Raw genomic sequence first — 22919 nt, 5'->3', positions numbered from 1 at the left:
CTCATATATGTGGCCAAATCATTTTTTTTTTTTGAGATGGAGTCTTGCTCTGTCACCTAGGTGGACTGCAGTGGCATGATCTTGGCTCTCTGCAACCTCCGCCTCCTGGGTTCAAGCCATTTTCCTGCCTCAGCCTCCCGAGTAGCTGGGATTACAGGTGCACCACCACACCCAGCTAATTCTTGCATTGTTAGTAGAGACGGAGTTTTGCCATGTTGGCCAGGCTGATCTCAAGCTCATGACCTCAGTGATCCACCTGCCTCAGCCTCCCAAAGTGCTGAATTACAGGTGTGAGCCACCATGCCCAGCCACCAAATCATTTTTGACAAAGGTGCCAGGACCATCCAATGAGGAAAGGACAGTCTCTTCAACTAATGGCACTGGGACCAGTAGATATCCACATGCAAATTAATAAATTGAACCCTTATCTCACACCATATATAAAAATTTACTCAAAATGAATCACAAAACTAAACATAAGAACTTAACGAAAAACTCTTAGGATAACGCATACAGGAAAAGTTTTATGGCATTGGGTTTAGCAATGATTGTTTTGATATTATGCCAAATGCACAGGTAACAAAAGAAAAACTAGATAAATTTGACTTCATCAAAATTAAGAACTTTTGTGCATCAGTGAACACTATCAAGCGAGTAAAAAGGCAATCCACAGAATGGGAGAAAATATTTGCAAATTATATCTGATAAGGAATTAATATACAGAGTATATTAGGAACTCCTACAGTGCAACAACAAAAAACAACTCAATTCAAAAATGGGCAAAGAACATGAATAGACTTTCTTTAAAGAAGATATACAAATGGGCAATAAACATGAAAAGACTCTCAACATCACCAGTCATCAGGGAAATGCAAATCAAAACCACAATAAGACACCACTTCACACCCATTAGGATGGCTATTATCAAAAGTAGTGGAAAATAACAAGTATTTATGAGGATGTGAAGACACTGGGATCTTTGCTTATGGGAATACAAAATGGTACAACCACTGTGGAAAACAGTTTGATGGGTCCTCAGAAAGTTAAACATAGAATGGCCATATAATCTAGCAATTCCACTTCTAGGTATATTCCAAAAAGAGTTGAAAGAAAGGATCACACAGACACTTGGACATCAATGTTCACAGCTGCATGAATTATTCAAAATAACCAAAAGGTGGAAACAATCCATCAGTGGCTTAATGGATAAACAAAGGTGGTGTGTGCACACAATGGAATATCATTCAGCCTTAAAAAGGAAGGGAATTCTGACACACACAACAGCACAGATGAACCCTGAGGGCATTACGCTAAGTGAAATAGGCCAGTCACAAAAAGACAAATACTGTAGGATTCCATTACATTAGTCCCTAGGGTCATCACATTCATAGAGATAGAAGGAAGAATGAGTGGTTGCCGGGGCTAGGGGGCGGGACAAATGAGGAAGTGTTGTTTAATGAGCAGAGAGTTTCTGTTTGGGAAGATGAAAAATTCTGTGTGGTAGCAATAGTGTGAATGTGCTTAACACTACCGAACTGCATACTTAAAAATTGTTCAATGATACATTTTATGTTATGTGTATTTTATCTCAAAATGAACAAATATGTTGTGCAATGCTATAGACCATGTCAATCTTGGAAAGTCACAATGTGTATTGAATCTTGTCATAAAGAACTCCATTTAGCCGTATTTAGCCCAGTGTTTCTCAAAGACACTTGAGCAGGGAACCATTATTGGTCTGTTTATTTCTGCACGTGGGCAGTGGTCAGAGGGATTCCAGTTTCAGAAGAGGATCTCAGGAGATTTTACAGCACAGAGGGTTGAAGTCACTGCTAACCTGATGCACGCAGTCAAATTAAAGAGTTTATTAGGGCAGTATTTTTGAAGCAGAACAAAACATTTGCATGTAAAGATGGTTCTGAAGATCCCAAGAGAAGAAAGAAAGGGGGATTGGTTTTGGAGGAAAAACAGAGAAGTCCCTCCTCTCCTAAAGAAGTCACCATTCCTGTATTTTTTTTTTTCCTGGCTGACAAAACATGGAGGAAAATCTATGCCATGAAGTATAAAGCAGAAGTCATGCCCAGCACTTCTTACAGTAGCAAAGGAGAAGTGGCAATGCAAAAGCGTGTTTGGGGTGGCTGGAGATGGCAATCGGTGTGACTTACAGCCAGATGATCTCGGGAGGGGCAGCACGCACAAGCCCCTAACACACTCAGGAGTTCAGATTCCCGAGGGTTCCATCATCTCAAAGTGGCTTCCCCGCCGATTCGGAACCCGTAGTTGCTCTGTTTCTGGGAAGGGTGTGAACTCGGGGCCTCAAACCTCCTGCCCCCCAGGCTTTGGAGTGATCACTCCTTCCTCACTGTGAGCCCCATTCTGGCGAAATGCACAAATGATCCTAATGCAATCGCAATGCCGTATGTTGTTTTCAGTCAGTGGTGGGAATTCCTGAAAAAGCAAAATTAAAAATGGGGGAAGGGACCCTTTCGGTTGTGCAGCACAACTCTACAGCTGTGGCTGCAAGCTGAGACAACAACCGGATACCGCACCCCAGGCCGGGCCAGGCAGCAGCTTGGAGCCCTTCTCGGAAGGCTGAGGAATGAATGGCACACATCGGCACGCAGGTCTCTGTTCCACAGAGAAGGCCCCTGGGATTTGCAGTCTCAGTAAAGCCTGCAGGCCGATGGGCCCTCTGCACTTCCTGTTTTGTTACTTTGCATCTTTCATCTCTAATGGACCCCAACACGTTGACCTTCCCTACCTGCCCCACGTGTGTCTACCCTGGACCCTCACGACACCTGGCAGGACATGGCGATTGGCGCTTATAAGCAGCTCTTCAATAGCTGTCCAATTAATGAGCACTGAGGGCACATACTTGGCGGCCACTTCTGAGTTATACCTAATTGTGCTTACAGCTGGGGAGGAAAACAAACAAACCAACAAACAAACAAAAAATCACCTGCTCTTCCCTCTCTTCCCCTCCCTCTCTCCTCCCTTCCTGGGTGCATTGCCTTGCAAGGGCCCATCTTTGTCATCAAACATGGGGTGCACCCAGCTTACCCCACTCACAGCACTCTCCAAATAGGTGCCTTTTCAATGGCAAAATCCAATGGAAACAAATTCAGTCCAAGGGTCAATTATGGGCTTATTTTCATATTTATGGATGGAATACTTTTCCTCAAAAGACGCTAATGATAGCCTAACGTACAGGCTAATCAAAACACCAGCCACTGAATGGGAAGAAGCCAAAGGAAGCTCCTGCTCTGCTATTCTTCCCACGCGGAATGGTTACATCTTGCACAGTTTCCCACCTCAATCTCTTTCCAAATGAACACTTTCTAAAATGTCTTGACAAAAGTCATCATCTCCACAAAGAAAACAAAAACAAAAACAAAAACGTATTATTTCCCATTCTCCACCGGCAGAAATGACAACCTTGACCAAATAACGTCTTTTGGTGTGGGCCTGTTAGCCATCTGTCTTGGGGAACTCCGGCGGCGCAGTCCCTACAGGTCACCTCTGCCGTACTCTTTCAGGGGTATTTAACACCATCTAGGCTTTGCTCACCTTCGCTCAGGTGCACTCTTTGTGCCAGGTGAATCTGGGGTGATGAGCTCGAAGGTGGCGTTTGCATCTAAGCCGCAGGTTCCATTTAGCCCCGCCTACACTGTCAAGGCCACCACGGAAACGTGCATGTGGTACAACTTCGTCATGTCGCTCACCAAATTTGTTTTAACTGATCTCAGATTTCACGATCGTCTTACATTTATTTATCTAAAATGTACTTACGTTGTAATTATAAATGCTCCATGAAACAATTACCAGTACGAAAGATGTATGTGTAACTTTGATATTATCGGGTGGGCGTGGTGGCTCATGCCTGTAATCCCAGAGGAGGCCGAGGTGGGTGGATCACGCAAGGTCGGTAGTTTGAGACCAGCCTGTCCAACATGAGGAAACCCCGTCTCTACTAAAAATACAAAAATTAGCCAGATGCGGTGGTGCGTGCCTGTAACCCCAGCTACTTGGAAGGCAGGAGAATCGCTTGAACCCAGGAGGCGGAGGTTGCAGTGAGCCAAGATCGTGCCACTGCACTCCAGCCTGGGTGACAGAGATTCTGTCTCAAAAAAAAAAAAAAAAAAAAAAAAAAAAAAGATATGATCAAGCCATATACTAAAAGAATTGCATAATATTTTTGGACAAATATGAACTGATTAACTGCATTGCTGGGGCCTATTTTAAAAACGCGCTACCCTCCCCTCATCTTCAAATCACCGTGGCGCACGGATCCTTTATCATGCGGAGGTTCTGTCCTCTCAGCCGCGGAGGTGACACTGTTAAGTGACTTTTTTCCTAATTCTGATTTTTAAGCCTTAAATACTGCCCACGCGCAGCTCTCTTTTTTGCTCCCTGACCTGACCTGTGCCCCGTCTCACCATTTAATAACTAAAATTTTAGATGGAATATGTTTATCTACAAATTATCAGTGATGTCAACACAGGTCAGCTTAATTTTTGCAAATAAGTACAGCTCCCATTTATTGAGCACATACCCCAGGCCAGAGTCTGCACTAAGCACTTTATGTAGATTATCTCATTTAATCCTCACATCAGCTCCTTGAGGAAGGACGTGCTATTGTCAGCCTCAAATGTCAGATGAGGAAACTGAGTCTCAAAGAGGTTACAGAATGGCCAGGTCACGTGTCTAATCACACAGGTAAGTCAGATTCAGCACAGGATTGACCTGGCTCCAAGGTTAGCACTCTTAAGTGTCACCAAAGCTGCCTTCCATCCTGATGCACGCACAGACGTGTGCTCAGCACATTTGGGCCGAGCCCTCCACATGGCCCAGGGATGGAGAAGCATCTCCCCTCCACCAGGACCTCTCAGTCAACTGAGGAGGAGAGACACAGCCTGCTGGGAGAGATGCTCAAGGTATTTATAAGATTCCAAAACAGACGACCAGGTGGGTGTGCTTGTGATGTCGCCCCGCCTGGCCAAGGGTCAGCTCACGTGTGAAGAGCCTATCATGGGCAGACAGAGCAAAGTGGGTGTGCAGGCTCACCAAGGGCCCCCACTGTCCAGGGTTCCCCCTGAAACCATCATCTATGAAACAATCAACATTGAACAAGTTCATTTCGTTTTTTGCTTTGTGCTAACTGCCAGAGAATCAGCAGTATAGTAGTGATCTGGTTACCTTACTTGGCCAAGGTGAAGGGATGCTACAAGTGTGATCAAGGCCCTCCAACAACAGGCTTTGAGTTCATCAAAGGAAACCATCATTCGTAGGCCCCATGTAATCAGGTGAGCCCTTAAAAGAGACTGGAAGCCACAGAGATGTTCTGCTGGCCTTGAAGAAGCAAATGGTCGTGTGGTGGAGGGGCCCCAAGGCAGGCAGCAAAAACAACAGGGGCAGCCTCTTGTTTTTGAGGGTGTCAGTTCCACCACACAAACAATCGGATTCAGCCAACCTCAGAGCTTGAGCCCCTGGAATGATCACAGCAAGGACCACCGCCTTGATTTCAGCCCTGCGAGCCCCTGAACAGAGAACCCTAGACTTCCTAACCACAGAACCTGAGATTAACAGGTCACCATTTACTGGAGTAAATTTGGGATTAATTTGTTACGTAGCAATGGAAAAGAAATACGTAAGGTCATCAAGAAAAATAAAGAAGCAATAGAAAAGGGTGAGGGGGTCTGTGAACAAAGAAACGCTGTGCAGTTCAAGCTCACACCGATGCCACTGAGGTGGCACTACCCAGCCTGCAGCAACTCGCAGCACCCCTCCCCGGAAGTGAGAGGAGTGTCATTTGGGGTATGAAGCTCATTTCATGAAATATTGATATTAAAGCTGATTTTGCAATGAATTCAATCTAGACTCATTTTAATGAAAAGAATTGTAACCAAAATATGTGACAATCATCTCCCTTAGGAAACCTTTCCTAGAGCTTGAAAGCTCCTGGTGTCCTGGCCTCTCGTGTGATCCCCACTACAGCCCCCATGACTCTATGTTTAGTCAATTTGCAGAATTTAACCTGTAACTGTAGTCTTCATGTTGTTTTATAATATTTACGAAAATACCAAACATCTAGCAGCAAATGTTGGTTCAATGAATGAATGTATGCATGGATGAGATTTCAGGAGGAAAACTATGTCTTTGCTTCTAGGTACCTGGAAATTGAACACAAACAATGAGTTCACTGGAAGCTGCAGGAGGCCAGAGAACATGTCTGTCATCATCACTGTAAATGATATTGGGCTCCTAGCCCACCACCTGCCACATGCGGGACCCTCATTTTGTGAGCCTGTGTTCACCAACCAACCTCATTGACTGAGGCTGGTGGAGCTAAAAGAAAGAAGGGTGAACTAAGTCAAGATTTAAGTTAAGACAAGCAAAGACTCAAACAGCTGAAAACATGGAAGTGCACATAGCTGGTGATGATGAAGGCAGGGTGAAGTAGATGTTTAGTCCTAAAGTAGATACCAAATTGAATAAGTAAAGGATACACAGTCTGGAACATGAACTGAACATCACCAATACACCAAACACAAAACAATCACAACAGTCCCAGAATATGACCTGATGTCTCCTTGATTATCCAGATTAGGGGGCCTACTGAAATCCTTTTGATTTCAACATGGCAGAATGAAGACTGAAGCCTGCTGGATCTGCCACCTGTTGGATCTGCCTTCTAAACTCAAGAGGTAGTCATGGACTTGCTCTCCACATCCTCATTCCAACCCAAAGAGAGGAGCTAGGATTCGGGTCAGGGCCACACATAATAACGTGGTTTCAGTGAGACTTTTGATGAATGGAGGAAACAGCCCCTAGCTTCTGGTTCTCTGAGGAGTACCTGTCCCAGGGAGCCTAAGAAGGAATCTGTTTGGGTTCCTGGTGAAAGATATAGGGTTTCCACCTGCTTCCTCAAGGCCAAAGGAATCCTCTTGACCCTCGTACACTCTAATCTAGCTGCCCTGGCCAGCCCAGTGAGGCCCGTGATTAGAACAGTATGGTAAGAAAAACTGTTCATTGGCCAAGTAACCTCTCTGCACATCTTTTTCAGAAATCTGTGCTGTGAGCGGGTGAAGGACATAGCAATTCTGGATTCCAGCCAGATATCTATTTGTTTCTACCTTGGACAGTCAATCCAAACCTTTCATGACTTACTTTCCTCTTGTCTAGACCCTTACATTCTCTTGCCATGGAGCTGAAAATTGGTGGTAATGGAAGACACCCCAATATAATTGAACCCCGTGAGGCAACTAATATGTTATTATTCCAACTCAAACGTATGATTGATCTCAGGTATCCACCAGTGCATTTGCTGACGTATCAACTTAAAAGAGACATTTGAAAATGCCTTTCTTCATATTTTTGTGAGCAAGAGATGAGAGAGGAGAGCTGTCTAATAAGGTGTGTTTGTACTTGATCGAGCAAGTCTAATGACAATGCAGTTTATTAGGCCCCTTCCACATATTGAGCATGGAGGGAGGAACATCCCATGTGCTTTTATAATTTTGATGCACAAAGAAACTGAGGTTCACGCAATAGTCCAGCCTTCAGCCTCTGAATCTCAGGTTGTCTCCACAACAGCGTGATGCCAAAACAGTACAGATTAACGATGGATCACCGTCCACTGCGGGGCAGCTATCTAGTGCCTGGTGCAAGCTCACCATGTCCTTTAACGATGGATCACCGTCCACTGCGGGGCAGCTATCTAGTGCCTGGTGCAAGCTCACCATGTCCTTTAACGATGGATCACCGTCCACTGCGGGGCAGCTATCTAGTGCCTGGTGCAAGCTCACCATGTCCTTTAACGATGGATCACCGTCCACTGCGGGGCAGCTATCTAGTGCCTGGTGCAAGCTCACCATGTCCTTTAACGATGGATCACCGTCCACTGCGGGGCAGCTATCTAGTGCCTGGTGCAAGCTCACCATGTCCTTTAACGATGGATCACCGTCCACTGCGGGGCAGCTATCTAGTGCCTGGTGCAAGCTCACCATGTCCTTTAACGATGGATCACCGTCCACTGGGGGGCAGCTATCTAGTGACTGGTGCAAGCTCACCATGCCCTTTTCCATACTTCTGTGCAAAACTTAGGTAAGGATATTGGTGTCATTACAAATGATACCAAGCTGGGACCCATCTCCAGCATTTTCAAATAAAACAAACCGAATCTAAATGTAAAGCTTGAGAACTGAGGTGCCAAAACTCAGCAACACAAGTGTGTGATTCTCCCGATGGGGTTCAACACCAGCACACGCATCCGAAACTTAAACACCTCTAGTGGAGAACCCGCCATGTGTCAACAGTGTGACGCGGATGCCCATTAGCTGATTTGAAGGGCAGGATGGTCATTTCTTACCCTCTCTTTCTGTCCTGTTAGGACCATCATCTGGAAGTCAAGGTTGACCCCAAAGTGGGAGGAGACCAGACCCAGCTGCTCACTGCAATTCAAAGTATTGCCCCTCTCCCAAACCCTGTCACTGAACAGAAATGAACGTGGGCAAAGGGTTTACCAGTGCATACAGAAATGACTGCCACAGCAGTGTTTTAAGGAACAAGACAGGATATCTCCCTTTAGCAGTACAGGCATCAAATATCAAGCTTGAAACTGCATTTGTGTGATAAGACTTGAGAGAAGGTGGAATGGCACGGTGTGAAATGATCTGATAGCACGAAAAATTGTTGTTAGGAGGTGTTGGCACTTGAAAAACAACACATCTTGTTCCTGTTGGCTTCAGCCCACGCTTACTCCAAGGATATTCTGCCGTGGTCCTATTTGGAAATCTTCAGTATTGAGCGGATAGTGAGAGAAAATGCACCCTAACAGCTGCCCTTTCCTTACAGACAGACACAGCATTCTGTTAAGCGGCTTGAGCAGACACAGAAACTATTTGCTATACATTTTCCTTTCTTAAATTTCATTTTATTTTTAGCTGACAGATAATTGTGTATATTTTCTGGGTACGATGTGATGTTTCATTATGTGTATATATTGTGGAATGATCAAATCAGGCTAATCAACCTCTCCATCACCTATTTTTTAATGTGGTATATGTACACAATGAAATACTATTCAGCCTTCAAGAAGCAGGATATCCTGCCATTTGTAACAACAGGGATGAACCTAGAGGACATTATGCTAAGTAAATTAAGCCAGTCACAGAGGGATAAGTGTTGCATGATCTCACTGATACGTGGAATTTTTAAAAAGTTAGACTCATAGAAGCAGACAGTAGAATGATGGTTACCAGGAGCTGGGCAAGGAAAGGGGGTAGACAGGTAAAGGGGAGAGACTGTATGTTTTTGGATTTATTTTCTACTCTAATATTTGAATACAGCACTGTTCCTGTGCATACACACACACACACACACACACACACACACACACACACACACACCCCAAGAAGGAACTCGGAGTCTGTGCTCAATTGTCCTGATGAGTGAGAATTTCTAACATGCAAATTCTGTTTGGGTAAAGTTTACCAAAAGCAAATGGCAACGGACGCAGCTCAAAGTTTAATATCTATTGAATCATTTCCCCTCATTCCTGGCTTCTCTTCTGGAATATTCTGTGGGGATTTTTTGTTGTCGTAATTGTTTTAAAGCTCCGAGGGCTGGGAAGAGTAACGTTTCTCTCAGGCAGATTGGCTGTGACATGTGTTCATATGTTCTTGATCATCACTTTCAGCTTCCCGCCTGTGACTGGTGGATCTTTTCTTGTTACATCAATTCCTCCCCTTCTCCTGCCTCCCACCCTTCGTTCCTCAGTGCTGAACCTTTCCACCTCTGTTCCCATCCAAGGCAACTAAAACTATGACACTCAGCGGCCTTCCTCTTCTATCTTCTCTGTAAGTACAAGCTTTGAAGAGCGCACTACTTCCTTGTCTAGGAATAACTTACGATTCTTCCTAAGTTGGGAGCTTTTAGCACGCTCATAGGAGACAGTGAGGAAGTGTGGTGTGTGTGTGTGTGTGTGTGCATGCTCAAAGGAGAGGGGTGGGAGAGAGAAGTACAGAGTACCAGGAATTATCTATGCATAAAGAAATTAAAAGAGAATATTTTCCAGAGCAATTGAAGCCCATCTCCTGAACAATGACGACAGCTCCTCATTTTCGACAACAAAAGAGGGCACGTAGGAGTCAGCTCATTAGAATATCTGTGGCTCTTTTCTGTTCTCTCTGCATTAAGCCCCCATAATGTCAGTTGTCACTTATTAATGACAATTAACTAGTAATCAGCAGTGAGACTCTTCGAGGTGGTCTTTGCCTGACAGGTGAAGAAAGAGAACATTGCGCAGTGCCACACGGTGACATGGAGCCTTCAAAGGGAGCACGGCATTTCCATAAATTATTTCAGAGAGAAAATTCCTTTTATACATTCTCTCTACAGCTTAAGGATCTTTAACCCTAGAAAGGCCACACTCCCATGCTCTTTCTGTGATTTTTTTATTCCTTACTGAACGAAATCTTCGATCTACGATTGTGGTCACTGGGCTTCCCACCCTCCTGTCACCTTCATTCCTGCGCATTTACTGATTCCACCTGCTTGGTTTTAGTTGGGTCCACGTGCGAGGCATGGTCTGTGATGTCCACTGCTAGTGCACAGCCCTAAAGAGCTCCAGCCCTGAGGCAGAGGCTGTGCTTGGAGCATTTCTCCTGCAGGTGGATCTATCTGCTCTTCCCTCATTCCTAATACAGGTGACAGAAGGGCCACAATCTTTGAGAATCACAATGGAAACCACAAACCCAGTGCCACCCAAAATGGTTCTCCAGCCTGTCACAGGGCCTGCCCCTCTCCTTCCAAGTCTCAGCTCTCCTCCCGCTGTTCTTCATCCTGAGACATAAGGAGACAGTGTCCCCGTCCCCCTGCTCTGCACACACAGGTGAGGCCATACGGACAGAGACAGACTGCAGAGGCTCTTACCTGCTCTCCCATGGTTCTGTTCTCCTGCCTTCTCTACAATGCTAAAGCGCTTGGCTAACATGAAGCGTTCTGTAAAGTGGGGAGTTTCAAGAAGAAAACATTTGGAGAGTGAATAAGAACACTAAATATTATTGCTACAGGATAAATGTGTTTATCTTGTTTTTGAGGAGTTCAGGCTTAAGAAATGACAAATCCAGCCTTGGGAAGAGACGTGATGATACCTCACTGTGGAGAGAGTGAAAGCAGTCAGGGTGCTACCTGCCAGGAGTGCATGGAGCAAGTGCATCACCAATTTCACTTAAAAAAAAAAAAAAGGCCGTTATTCATGTCAAAGCAATGCAATTAGCATGGAAACCATTGGCACAAGGAATGATATCCAAACCAGTCTCTGAAACCCCAGACTTTCTATTTCTGATGTGGGATTCCAGTCTTAAAAAGGTAAGCCACCAGAAGCAGGAATGTAGGAATACACTAGTTGGAGCATTTCCAAAAGAAGCACCAAATTCATCTTTAACGCTGTGATCAAAACTGAAATTTTAAGAAAAGCGAGAGGTCATCCAGACATAGAAACTTTGTGACTCCTTTTTCATAAATCTGTTGTTTTTCTCTGCAAAGTTTTAGTGACAAGAACTGGTGTTGCCTCTCTGCAGCTTTCCTGGCTTCCTTAGGAGAATTTTGTGATATTACAAAGCTTCCATGACAACAAATAAGATATTACATAGTGTGAGGCTCCAACTATCTAACCAGAACTTAAAGACAAATATTCACGTTACATTTAAGAAAACAGTCACCATGCAAAAGATTGTTTTAAATTCCCTATTTAAAAAAATATTTTTCATCATAATCTGAAGTTTGGACAAAGCCCTTTCCATCAGATTTCTGCTTGCAGATTATTTTAGAGTTTAATGCTATTAGTTTCCACTAATTGATGAAAAAAATTATGGAAAATGGAATGTGTCCTAATCAATATGTCCAGAGTCCAATTTTGAGATGTGGTCATTTATTACCCATTCAACAATGCAAAAACCCATGGTTCCACTAAATAGGACCAATAATTGAGCTCCCCATCCTGGAATCTTGTGTATCCAAGTGAATGATGTGTGAATTTCACAACTCTAAAACAATAAGGATGGGGATATCTGGGAGGAAAATTAATTGCTTTAAAAATGGAAATTAGATTTTTCTAATTTGTAAATAAACATATTACAAACGAAACGCAAGTATTTAGGGCATTACTGTCTCTTAAACTTAACAAATCAAAACAGAACTAAATACTGCTTTCTAAAATTTTAATGACATAAAAGAGTCAAAAGTTGAAATGGGTATGTTTAATCAATCATTAATTAATATTAATCAATTAATGCCCAATCATTAATCAATTGGTCATAATGACATGAAAGCTATGGCTTAGAAATACGATTGAATATATAATTTTAAACTACATGATAATAAATTATTCCCAAATGCCCATCCTTTTTGGTTTTGTTATCACACCGTGCTTACCACACATCCACATACTCTGCTGTTCTACAATGAGAAAAGGAAAATTTTAGTTTAGTTTGTTGGAGAAAATTGGAAAAATTACTCGAAAACATGCATAAATACATTAAAATGTATATAAAGAAGAAACATTTACTGAAAGGAGAAAAATGTATTAGTCTTAGGACCAGTTGGGGTTTTGTAACAGCCCATAGGAAACCCAGTTGTGTATGAATTGATTGGATGAATTTGGCAAACGGTTACAGTTACACAAAATGGGCTTTTCCTTATTATTTACATACTTTAGAAACTGGTGTTCCCAATGTATCTGTCCCCAGTTCCTTGCCGCTAATGTACTTTTGGTCAAAAAAGCTTTCAAGGAAAAATATCCCTGCAAGTTCAGCTTTGTTCAGAATGCTTCAGTCTTAAAGACCTCCTTTTAAATTCATCTTTAAGCACTGCATTCTAACCAGAAAACTACATTTTTAGCTACTATTTAAATATGATGTGTGCCATATCTGAAGTATTTCAACAAAATATGATCAAATATGTGGGCCCACTGTTTCTACTCTCTGTTCAAAGTAAAATACACTCTACACATCATAAGACAGACTTTATACCAGTCAGATCAAATTGTAAATATTTTTGGGTGATGTAAGAAAAATAATGACTGACTAGTTACAGGTCATCTAAACACTTTTGGTGAAACACTATTGATGTTTAAGAAAGAAAATGAATCCCACGTACTCTTCAGCGCATCCTGGTCTTATTCAAGGTAACATGCTTCCTCATCGTCCTCACCCTTTGCTTGTTGGCCTCTGCGTGTGGCTATCAAGAATCTGGGTCAAAGATATCAAGGGCTTAGCAGGACCCTTGAATTTCAGCTCTGGAACAAACTCACCTGTGGGAGATATTCTGATACAGATTTAAAAGTAGTCCCAGTCTCTTGACTTCTAGGTCTAATCCAAGTGTTTTTTTTTTTATGGAGTTACTCTAAGTGATCAAATCTCATCCTACTAGGGTGGTGACCACTCTATTTTGAGATTATTTTTGTTTTGCTAATCAATACTAATTGCAGATCAGCAACAGAACTCATAAAATTGGAAACTCCTCTCCCTGTGAGCAAGTTGGGAAATCTGAAGAGAGTACAAAAGTACATTATGCACTTGAAGTCACTGGGGACCCTTTAATGAGACATAGCTTTGTGGACGAACAAGGGGGAACAGACCTGGAAAATAACTACCCTGTTCTAGTCCCGCATCCACAGAGGAGCCACAGGGTCTCAGTTCAGCTCTTTCTCTCCTCTTTGCTGTTGTTGTCTGTGACCACTTGAGTTTAAATGAATCATGAAGTCTGGGCAGGCTGACTCACGCCTGTACTCCCAACAATTCGGGAGGCCGTGGCGGACGGATCACTTGAGCTCAGGAGTTTGAGACCAGCCCGGGCAACACGGTGAAACCTTATCTCTAAAAAAAAATTACAAAAATTAGCCAGGCATGGTGGTGTGTAACTGTGGTCCCAGATACTTGGGAGGCTGAGGTGGGAGGATTGCTTGAGTCAGTGAGGTCAAGGCTGCAGTGAGCCCAGATCATGTCACTGCACTCCAGCCTGGGCAACAGAGTAAGACCCTGATTTAAAATAAATAAATAAATAAAATCATAATTAATGTAAAAGTACTCCGAAAATCATACATGTCCTTGAATGATTCTTTTTTAAATAACGTAAGTGAACAACCAGCGTTAAAAAATATTATACATGAAAACATCAAGATTAAATTGGTTAATTAGTGAAAATGGCCAAAAACTTAAAAACATCAAACCCTTGTATTCACACGGCAAAGGTGTGTAGAAAGTCATTCTCATGCAAATAAGTGTGTAAACCAGTACAAGTCTTCCTGTGGGTGATTTGGCCATGTGCATCAAATCACATTACGATGCAGCGACTTCAATTCTAGGTATTTGTTGTAAGGAAATAATCAAAAATATTCACAATAATATTGAGTAGAATTTTTTGTACTCAATATTTCTAACTGAGAAAACTTGAAAAATCTAAATGTTGCTTTTAAAATTGTAATAAGGAATTGATTAAATAAATTACAGTACAGCTCAATAAGATTTAAAAATCCTCCATATGTAATGAAATGAGAAAACAGACATTATCTACTGTCAGGTAAAGAAGAAGCAAGGTACAAAAAGTATGTTGAACATGATCTCTAGTTTGTAGAAATATGGAAAAAAGATGTTAGCACTAAAATAGTAACAGTGATTTTTCTCTAGATGAAAACAATACTTTTTATTAACTTCATGGTTATTTTCCAAGTTTTCTACAATGACTATGTATCACTTTTGTCATAAGAATAAAAGTTATGTAAAAAGCACAAATTGTCACCAAAAGAGATTTTACTTTTTGGTATCTTTTAAGCTAACAATTCAATAATTAGCTTTCAATGGTATCCGCTATCTTCAGATAAATTATAATAAAATAATAAGAAATTTTCCCTCAGAAAAAAGTAGAAACCTTTATTTGCATGTACAGGTTTCTGAACATTTGGAAATAGATTAGACATGCTTTAAAGTTAACAGTTTTTCAAAGGCTGTCAACTATAGAAATGTCGAATCAGAAACCTTAGAATTTTTAATCACCTTTTTGCATACACTGCCTAAAAAAGTTTGTTTCACTTACATAAACCATTGTCTGTCATTATTTCACAGGTTTTCTCTCTCTTTAAAAACTGACTACCTATAAAGCAACATCCTCACCCAACACACATTTTGGGGAATACCATAAACTTTAAAAAATTCTACATTTGAAGGAAAAAAATACATGATTAGTTATTAACTCCAAGTCTCAAACTGCAAACATGAGTGCAAATCAGGGTGACGCCTGCAGGTGCACGACGACCAAGCCAAACCAGACTGCTGGACTGAGAAGCCACTTGCCCTCTCCCTGGCCTCCTTGCCAGCGTCCCACAGGCTGGGACAGGTGGCCGACTCTCTCCAAGTGCCTAGGGCCATCTTGTCCCCACACCACAGAAGATGAAGATCTGTTCCCTGGGACCGACTTAGGAGGCCGAGGGGCCCCAATGCCATGTGTGGAGTTCATTTGCTGGGACACACAAAACTACACGAAGTGAAGGGTGGACACGTTTCCTCGGACATCAATGAAGGAAGGGGAAACGTGTCAAGCAAATCTTCAGATTGTAGGTATCCCAATCCTTCCCCGGATTAGTCAATCCATTTGTATCCTTACAAATTGAGTTTCTGTGTTACTAAGTATACCCGTATTCAATTGAAGTTGCTACAGAATCATAAAAACATCTTTCAACTTATTTTCTCAAATCCAGCAGACCATGGGGTGGTTACATTTTGCCATCCACAAGGGCTGCAGTGGGAGGTGATGAGCAGCCCTGGCCGCGCAGCACCATCCTGAAGCCTTGCCTCTAGCTCCCCACCCCGTAGGAGACACCCTGCCTCTGAGTGACAGCAGAGATCCCCACCTGGGGCAGATCCCAAGGCCTGTAAGGAGGTGTTCAGAGTGTGGTTCTGCAGCAACAGCTTTTTGGGCTCGAAGCCCATGTTTAGTCACTTAGTCGTTCGTAAGCCATGTGGCCTTGGGTCCATTCCTCAACCCTGCTGTGCCTGGCTCCTCACCTGTAAACCGAGCATGAAACTAACAGAACCCACCGCATACAGTTGTGAGGAATGAATGAGTTCATAGGTGGGAAGTACTTCGAATTAGTCCTGGGCACAGAGGAAGCACTCGACAAATACTAGTCGGGGTCGCCACGTTCATTATCACTATCAGTGGTATGATTAAGATAACCTAGTCTCCTATGCATTGGTTGGGAAATTAGGGTCAATGACAACGTAGCAATACAGTTGGTGAGTTAGGAAGAAAAAAATTTAAAGGAAAACCCCAATTCTATGTCTATCCCCAGTGATCGGAACTCAAGTTGCAAGCTGCTTTAAAATGACTCAGTGCTTAGCTGCACACTGGGACTGGGCCCAGCGACCCCGTTCTGGGGAGCGCTCACCTCCCTTTGTACCACTTCACCTGCTGCTGCTAACACTCTTGCTATAAGGGTGAAATCACATAATCGTATGTTTGCAGTTTTGTGGTAAAATAAACATAACTTCAAAGGATTATTATGCAAAGCCCCCACACCACTGCCATAAGCCTAATTGTTATTCTTCTCTGTCACCCCTTGAGCCCAAAGTACATAATCACCCAGTAATTGAACTGAAATGTCTAAATGGCTGAGGCTCCTAAAGGACATAGCTATTTACCAATGAAAAAAGTCAGAAAAATTTAGCAAACCTCCCTGGCGCTCTGCTGCGTTAGTACAAAAGACTGTGTAAATATGACCCACCTGGACCTGCTCCTCCTCCTCAAATCATTAATGGAAACAGAACAATCCTTGCTGTCACGGGGCAATGTGAGAGAAATAATTAAAATATCACAATTGCTTAGCTGTTTCTGAACAGAGCGGTGTAAGCTCTAACCTTTCTCAGGATATAATTTTATGAAAATTTAAGCAAAAGGCAGAAAAGTAAATTTTCCTGGTCGTATCATTAAGTGCTTCTGGGGCTGGGGGGAGAAGCCAGGGGGCCTCAATGTCAATGCTTCCCTCAATACAGACTGGGCAGTGAGTCCTGGGCTTTCAGGGATGGGGGTCACCCTGGAGGATGGGCGTTTTCATGGCAAGGGTCCTGACATTCTCAGTAGAGCCCGCCGTGCTCTAATCTGCAGAAAGAAGCCTCATCTCAAACACTGAATACAACAGCAGCCAGTTTTCTTTTTAAAATTGTAGATTTTTAAAAGCTCAGAAATCAGGTTTTCCTCTTTGGAGTAACACAGAACTAATTCCAGGGTCCTTGGGGTCTTTGCTGGTGGAGTAAGCCCTACCCCTCTACTCCCATCATTAAATATCTGGATAGACACACAGGTTAATTATACATATTTTTAAATTTTGCAAAGGATTCTCTGAAGGACGCATCTCAGCCCATCTAAGTACAAAACAGCCATCACTCAATGGCTAAACTCGGCAATCCTTGGCACCCAGTGGAGTTAAAAATTTTAATTATCATTTTTTAAAACGCAATACTTATCATTTGAATGAAACATGTCAGCACACAAATCATGAAATGATGATTCTGAATAGAATTTTTGTTGGTTGATTGCATAAGCAATACCTCTTGTTGCTGAAATAACATCTCAAAGGCAAAATAATGACGACATGACAATCCGTGTAAATCAAGAACTGCATGTGGGTTTATTTTACATCTGAGAAAACAGTGGATTTAATTGTGTGAACCAAAATGTACTGTACAATATTAATGATAGAACATCAAAATGTATAATTAATAGTGCATTGCTTGCTTTGTTTTTATGTATTTATTTTTGTCTGACAGTCCCTCTGAGTACATGCATCTGGAGAGATGCAGGTGCCAGTAAAAGTCCTCTATTTAAATCAAGCTGCAGGAACTAAATTTTATTCAAAAATTGTGGTTTTACATTATATACACAGAAATTTAATATAAAATGACAATATAAAAAGTTAAAAGAGAAAGCATACAGCCAGAAGGTACAAAGAAAGTTGAAGAGATTAAAATGGTACGATATGTAACATACAGGAGTTTTTAAGCTGATGCTGGCAATTTACAAGGAAAGGACTCCAACGTTTGCCCCATTTTTTTTCATTTACCAATGCAGCACGCTATAGAAAGGTCAGCTTGTACCAAAGCTTACATTTGTAAATAACTATAAACTGCAATATTTTACAGGAAAAAAGAAATAGCATTTTTACACATTTTTAAATAATAGCTTGCATACTTTTTTTTTTGCCGAAAGTGGCATTTTTCAGCATCCAGAGGGTTTGGGCATAGTGGCGAGTGGGGTATCTGTTGTTGTTGTTTTTTGTTTTAGACATGTAGAGGTGTGGCTTCCGAACCCCGTGAGTCCTAGACAGCTTTCTATCTTCCCACAGCTGCATGCATGTTTCCTCACAAACCAGTTCTGCATATAAAAGCTCATTTTTTAATTATTAAATAAGTTTTGTGTCTGACACAGCTTTTGATCTGAATGAAATGCCTTTAAGCCTTTTTTTCTTCTTTTTTTTTTTTCAAGTGAAAGGCACAGAAATGCAATTACAGTCCTCAAAGGGTTAAATTTGACACTACCAGGTTCTATGACCTTTATTGTCATGGCAACTTCACCATTTTAGGATGTCTTTTTATCATTGTTATTTGTGTCTTTCTTTACTGCTAAATAATGTCTCTGAGTAGTGTGCCCCACTATTTCCTACAAAAGATAGCTTAACACCAAGAACAGATGTTGAAAATAAAGGTCAGACTTTGACTCACGGAAAAAGAAAAATAACATGCACAGATCGGACAGAGAGCATATAAATATACAAAATATGTGTAAGAAAACCAAGGTCCAGAGAGGCGGGCCAGCAACAAAGGAAAGACTGATTTCAGAGGCTCAGGCCAGGCCTAGTGCAGCTCGACGACGTTTAGTGCAATGTTCCGCGGTCTCTTGCATACCTGGACGCTACTGTTTCTCCAACTCAGTCACATAGATCAGGTGGTCCTCGGGAGACTTGCCGTGGGTCTTACTAAGGTGCAGTTTGACTGCGTGCTTGCTCGCAAAAGTCCGGTTGCAGAGCTTACATTGGAATGTGGAGCCCAAGTCTTCCTCGGTGGCCCCCAGTGGGCCCAGAGTTTTGTTGGTGAGGACTTTCGAAACATTCTGCTGTTCTTGAATCTGATTGAGTGGCAGCTTGGAGAGATCCTTCAGGCTGAAGCCCAAGTGTGTCTCCAAATGACTTATGTATGTAGAAGCAGTTCTGAACTGAGAGGCACAATCGTTGCAAAAGAAAACAGGATGCCCTGTGTCCAGGTTCTTTAGGAATTTCGTTCCCCCTGTCCTCCTCAACTGGTACTTCACATTGGCCAGCCAGTGGCTGATGGTGGTCATGGAGAGCCCAGTAAACTTCGAGATGTGCACCCTCTCCTGCGGGCCCAAGTCCGACATGATGTACTTGCCCTCTGTGGTCTCCCGCAAGCTCGAGGCGAACTGGGCCTGCAGGATGAGAAGGTGCTGCGGGTTCCAGTTGGACTGCCGGCCCTTCCTCTTGTGGACCGGTGACAGCTCGTCCAACGCCTCCTCAAAGCTGCTGCCATCAGCATCGGACTTCTCTGAAACTGTGGAGGGCGTGGAGGACTTGGGCGTCAGGCGGCCTGTGAGGTTTTTCACCATGTCGGAGATGTCCATGAGTGCGCTCTCCCGCAGAGGTGATGCCACCGAATCAGCCACGCTGGACACCAGCGGCTTGTTCTTGGACTTGGTTAAGTCAATGGGCTGGTCGCTGTTTTCATAATAGTAGCGGTCGATGGCATCGGCCTGCTTCACAGGGGTGGCGGGGTACACCGGCTTGTCCAGCATGCTGTTGCTGATCTTGTACAGCATCGCCAGCGGGTCCAGCGAGGGACTCACGGGCTTGGACACCTTGCCCAGGTGGGTGTTCATGATGGACTGCAAAGCGCTCAGCGGGTTGATGAAGGAAGGCTCCGGTGAGTGGTCCATGATGATCCCCAGGTTGTTACAGCCGTTGGTGACCTTTGCTTTGAGAGGCTCTGTGCCATTTGGGGTGTGAACGTCCAGCGGTCCCTCCTTTTTGGCCTTCCCAGTCTCGGCCTCAGGGCCCTTCTTCTGTGGTTTGCCGCTGACTTCCTCCGTTTTCGGGAAATCTTTATTCTCTTTTGCTATGGGGGACGCAGCCTTGGCCAGGGAGCTCTTCTCCTTCTCAGGGGGTCTCTCCTCCTTCTTGATGTTGACCTTGCCCGTGACCTTCTCCACCAGCTCCTCCATGGCAGACACGTTGCTCTTGTGCGGTGGGGGCGTGAGGCTCCCTGGGGAGTGCAGGAGGGCGTTGTGCTCGGCGGAAGACAGCGACTTCACGCCGCCAGCATAGGACGGCTGCACCTGCACGCTCTGCACGGCCGCCGGCAGTGGCTTCACGGTGCCCGGGAGCTGGTAGGCTGCATGGATGCTGGGGTAGCCACCCCATGAGGGCGCACCATTCTGAGCTTTGCTAATGGCCGTGGAGACGGTATTCTCCAGGGACTTGAGAATGTCCAGCCCTCCCTTGGGGCTGTCGTCCAGGTCCTCCTCACGCAGGTACGGGTACAGGGTGCTGGGCTCAAATTTCTCCAAGCTGTCCTCACTCTCCTCCTTGATCTTCTCCGCGTCGCCAGCCACAGGCGGCTTCTCCTTCTCTGGCTCTTTCTTTTCTTCAGAAGTCGTGGACCCCGCGGGAGAGTCGGGCTGCTTTTTGATGCTGGAGGCCGGCAGCCGCGTGTGGGTGGTGGGCGGTAGTGGGATGGACTGGATCTTCTCTTCCACCACAGGGTCCAGCACCAACTGCTTGCCCTTCTTAGAAGCCGAGGTGGTCACTTTCAGGAAGTGCCCGGTGACCATCATGTGGGCGGTGAGCTGCTGCAGCGTGTCGTGGGAGCTGCCACACTCCATGCACTTGAGGATCTGCGCCTTGCGGGCCTCAAACTGCCAGGTGTAGCTGGCGCCATTCTGGTAGCCATAGCGGTTATTGGGCGTGACGTACGGGTTCGCTGCTTTCTGATCCTTGGCTGACTCACTCAGGGCCACCTCTGCGGCCATTCCTGCTGGCTCAGGGGAGCAGGGGGGCGCCAGGTCCTGAAGCGCCCGCTTTTTGGTGGAGGGGACCAGTTTGGTGATGGCTGGCACTGGCTCCTTCAGAGGCACTTTCTGGTAATGCTTGGTTTTGATCATGTGGACGCTGAGGTCCTGCAAGGACTCAAAGGAGTGTCCACAGTACATGCACTTCAGCACCTTCTGGGCATCCTCCTTCCCCTCCATCTCCATCAGGGAGCGCTTCCTGGGCTTGGACCACCTCTTGGTCTTCTCGGAGTCCTTGTCCCTGTTGTCGTCACGGTAGTGGCCTGTCTCGTTCATGTGCACCGTCAGTTCCACCAGCGTGTCGTACGCGGCACTGCAGTCTTTGCACCGGAACTTGCTGGCGCCCGTGAAGACGGAGCCGTAGAGCTTGTTGTTCTGGCGGTAGAGCTGCACGGTGCTGAACAGGCTGGGCTCAGGAAGCAGCCCATACGAGGACGTCTGCTGCAGCGTCTTGGCCAGTGCAGCCTGGTGCCAGTCGTACCCGGAGCTGCTGCTGGTACTGGTGGTACTGCTGTGGCTGGTGCTGGAGCTGCAGCTGGTGCTGGGCGTGCTCGTGGTGGGGCCAGTGGTGCTGACGGGGCAGGTGGGGGGTGTGGGGGTGGGGGCGGAGCTCTCCTTCTGGCTGGCATCGTTGGTGCTGGTGGTGGAACCCGACTTCTTTAAATCCAGAGCTAAGCTGGACCAGCAGGACTCGGAGAACAAGTTTGCATACACAGCTTTGATCTGTGCCAGGCTGTCCTGGGGGTACGAGACGCTGTCGGGACACTGCGGATCCTCCTTCTCTTCTCGAGAGGAAGAGCCTTTGAAATGGGCTAGCTGGTCGCTGCTCTCACTGAAGGGCGACCCGTAGCCGGCGTCCTGGTTAGTCGCAGAGCTGACTGGGGAGTTCTGGTAGCTCTGCGCCTCTTTGATCTCCGTCTCTTCATTGCACATGTACTCACTTTCCTGAATGTCCAAAGACAGCCCGTCATCCTCCACGTGCTCTTCATCTATTTCTGCTGCCTTCAATTCTTCCTCAGGAACATAAGCTAGGAGAGAAAAATGAAACCCAGTTAGAAGAAGTAAATCATCTTCAAAGAGACAGCCTCCCCAGCAGTTAGATGATCTTTAAAAAGATATTTGTCAGCCTAGCCCCCAGGACACAAGGCTACCCCAAGTTTACATATCTACCCCTTTGCAGGAGTTAGGTTTCAAAAGGTGCTGTCCCCTCCTGAGTGTGTCTTTAGCAAAGGGGACTGAGCTGGAGGATGATGTCCTGTGCTCGTCCCAAAGATGTCAGTTTGACCCTTGCAGCCTGGTGGGAAGGGCAGGAACTTGGGACTCCAGCCACCACCTGCCAAGTACCCCTCCTATAGGCTGTTCCCTCTGTAAGTGACCCAGGAGTCCCCTCATGACTTCCATATGGCAAATATTTGTAAACACCCATCGGGCAGGACCTGGTTATCAATTTTTAGAGCAGGATATTCACAGACAGTATATCGTTTCCATAAGTAAAAACACTCCTCAATGGCAAGCAATGAAAACACTCTGGTCTTCACCAAAAGCACCAACATGGCACCGCCAATCTCCTGCCTGGCAGAGCAAAGCGCCACCCGCATGGGGCTGCCAGACGGCAAAAGCCACGGTTGTTCACCAAGGCCCAGAGCAGCCTCATTGACTGCAGCCAAAAGCTGGAAGGCACCAAAAGGTCCAGTGACAGTTGGAGGGATGAACGCGGTGTGGCCCGTCCACACTCAGGCTTGGAAAGGGAGTTCTGACACGCACTGCAGCGCGGACGCACCTCGAGGGCA

General features: G+C 44.7%; 1 protein-coding gene across 2 annotated transcripts in view, besides 1 other annotated feature; it reads right to left on the bottom strand.

Annotated features, from left to right (window-relative positions):
- The window catches only part of TSHZ1 (teashirt zinc finger homeobox 1), a 79148-nt gene continuing 73889 nt past the window's right edge, over positions 17661–22919 (bottom strand). For both annotated transcript variants that reach the window (NM_001308210.2, NM_005786.6), the window contains exon 2: positions 17661–22157. In NM_001308210.2, coding sequence (NP_001295139.1) covers positions 18964–22157 — 3194 coding nt within the window. In that variant the 3' untranslated portion in view covers positions 17661–18963. The remainder of the gene's footprint in view (positions 22158–22919) is intronic.
- Positions 20617–20911: a silencer, noted in NCBI's record as "tiled region #9768; HepG2 Repressive non-DNase unmatched - State 15:Elon". NCBI's record gives its function as "represses a minimal TATA promoter and a strong SV40 promoter by Sharpr-MPRA in HepG2 cells {active_cell/tissue: HepG2}" and the evidence as "EXISTENCE:reporter gene assay evidence [ECO:0000049][PMID:27701403]".

The sequence above is a fragment of the Homo sapiens genome, chromosome 18 (assembly GCF_000001405.40).
Source record: "Homo sapiens chromosome 18, GRCh38.p14 Primary Assembly".
Taxonomy (NCBI): domain Eukaryota; kingdom Metazoa; phylum Chordata; class Mammalia; order Primates; family Hominidae; genus Homo; species Homo sapiens.
This window is presented reverse-complemented; position numbering and strand designations above follow the sequence as displayed.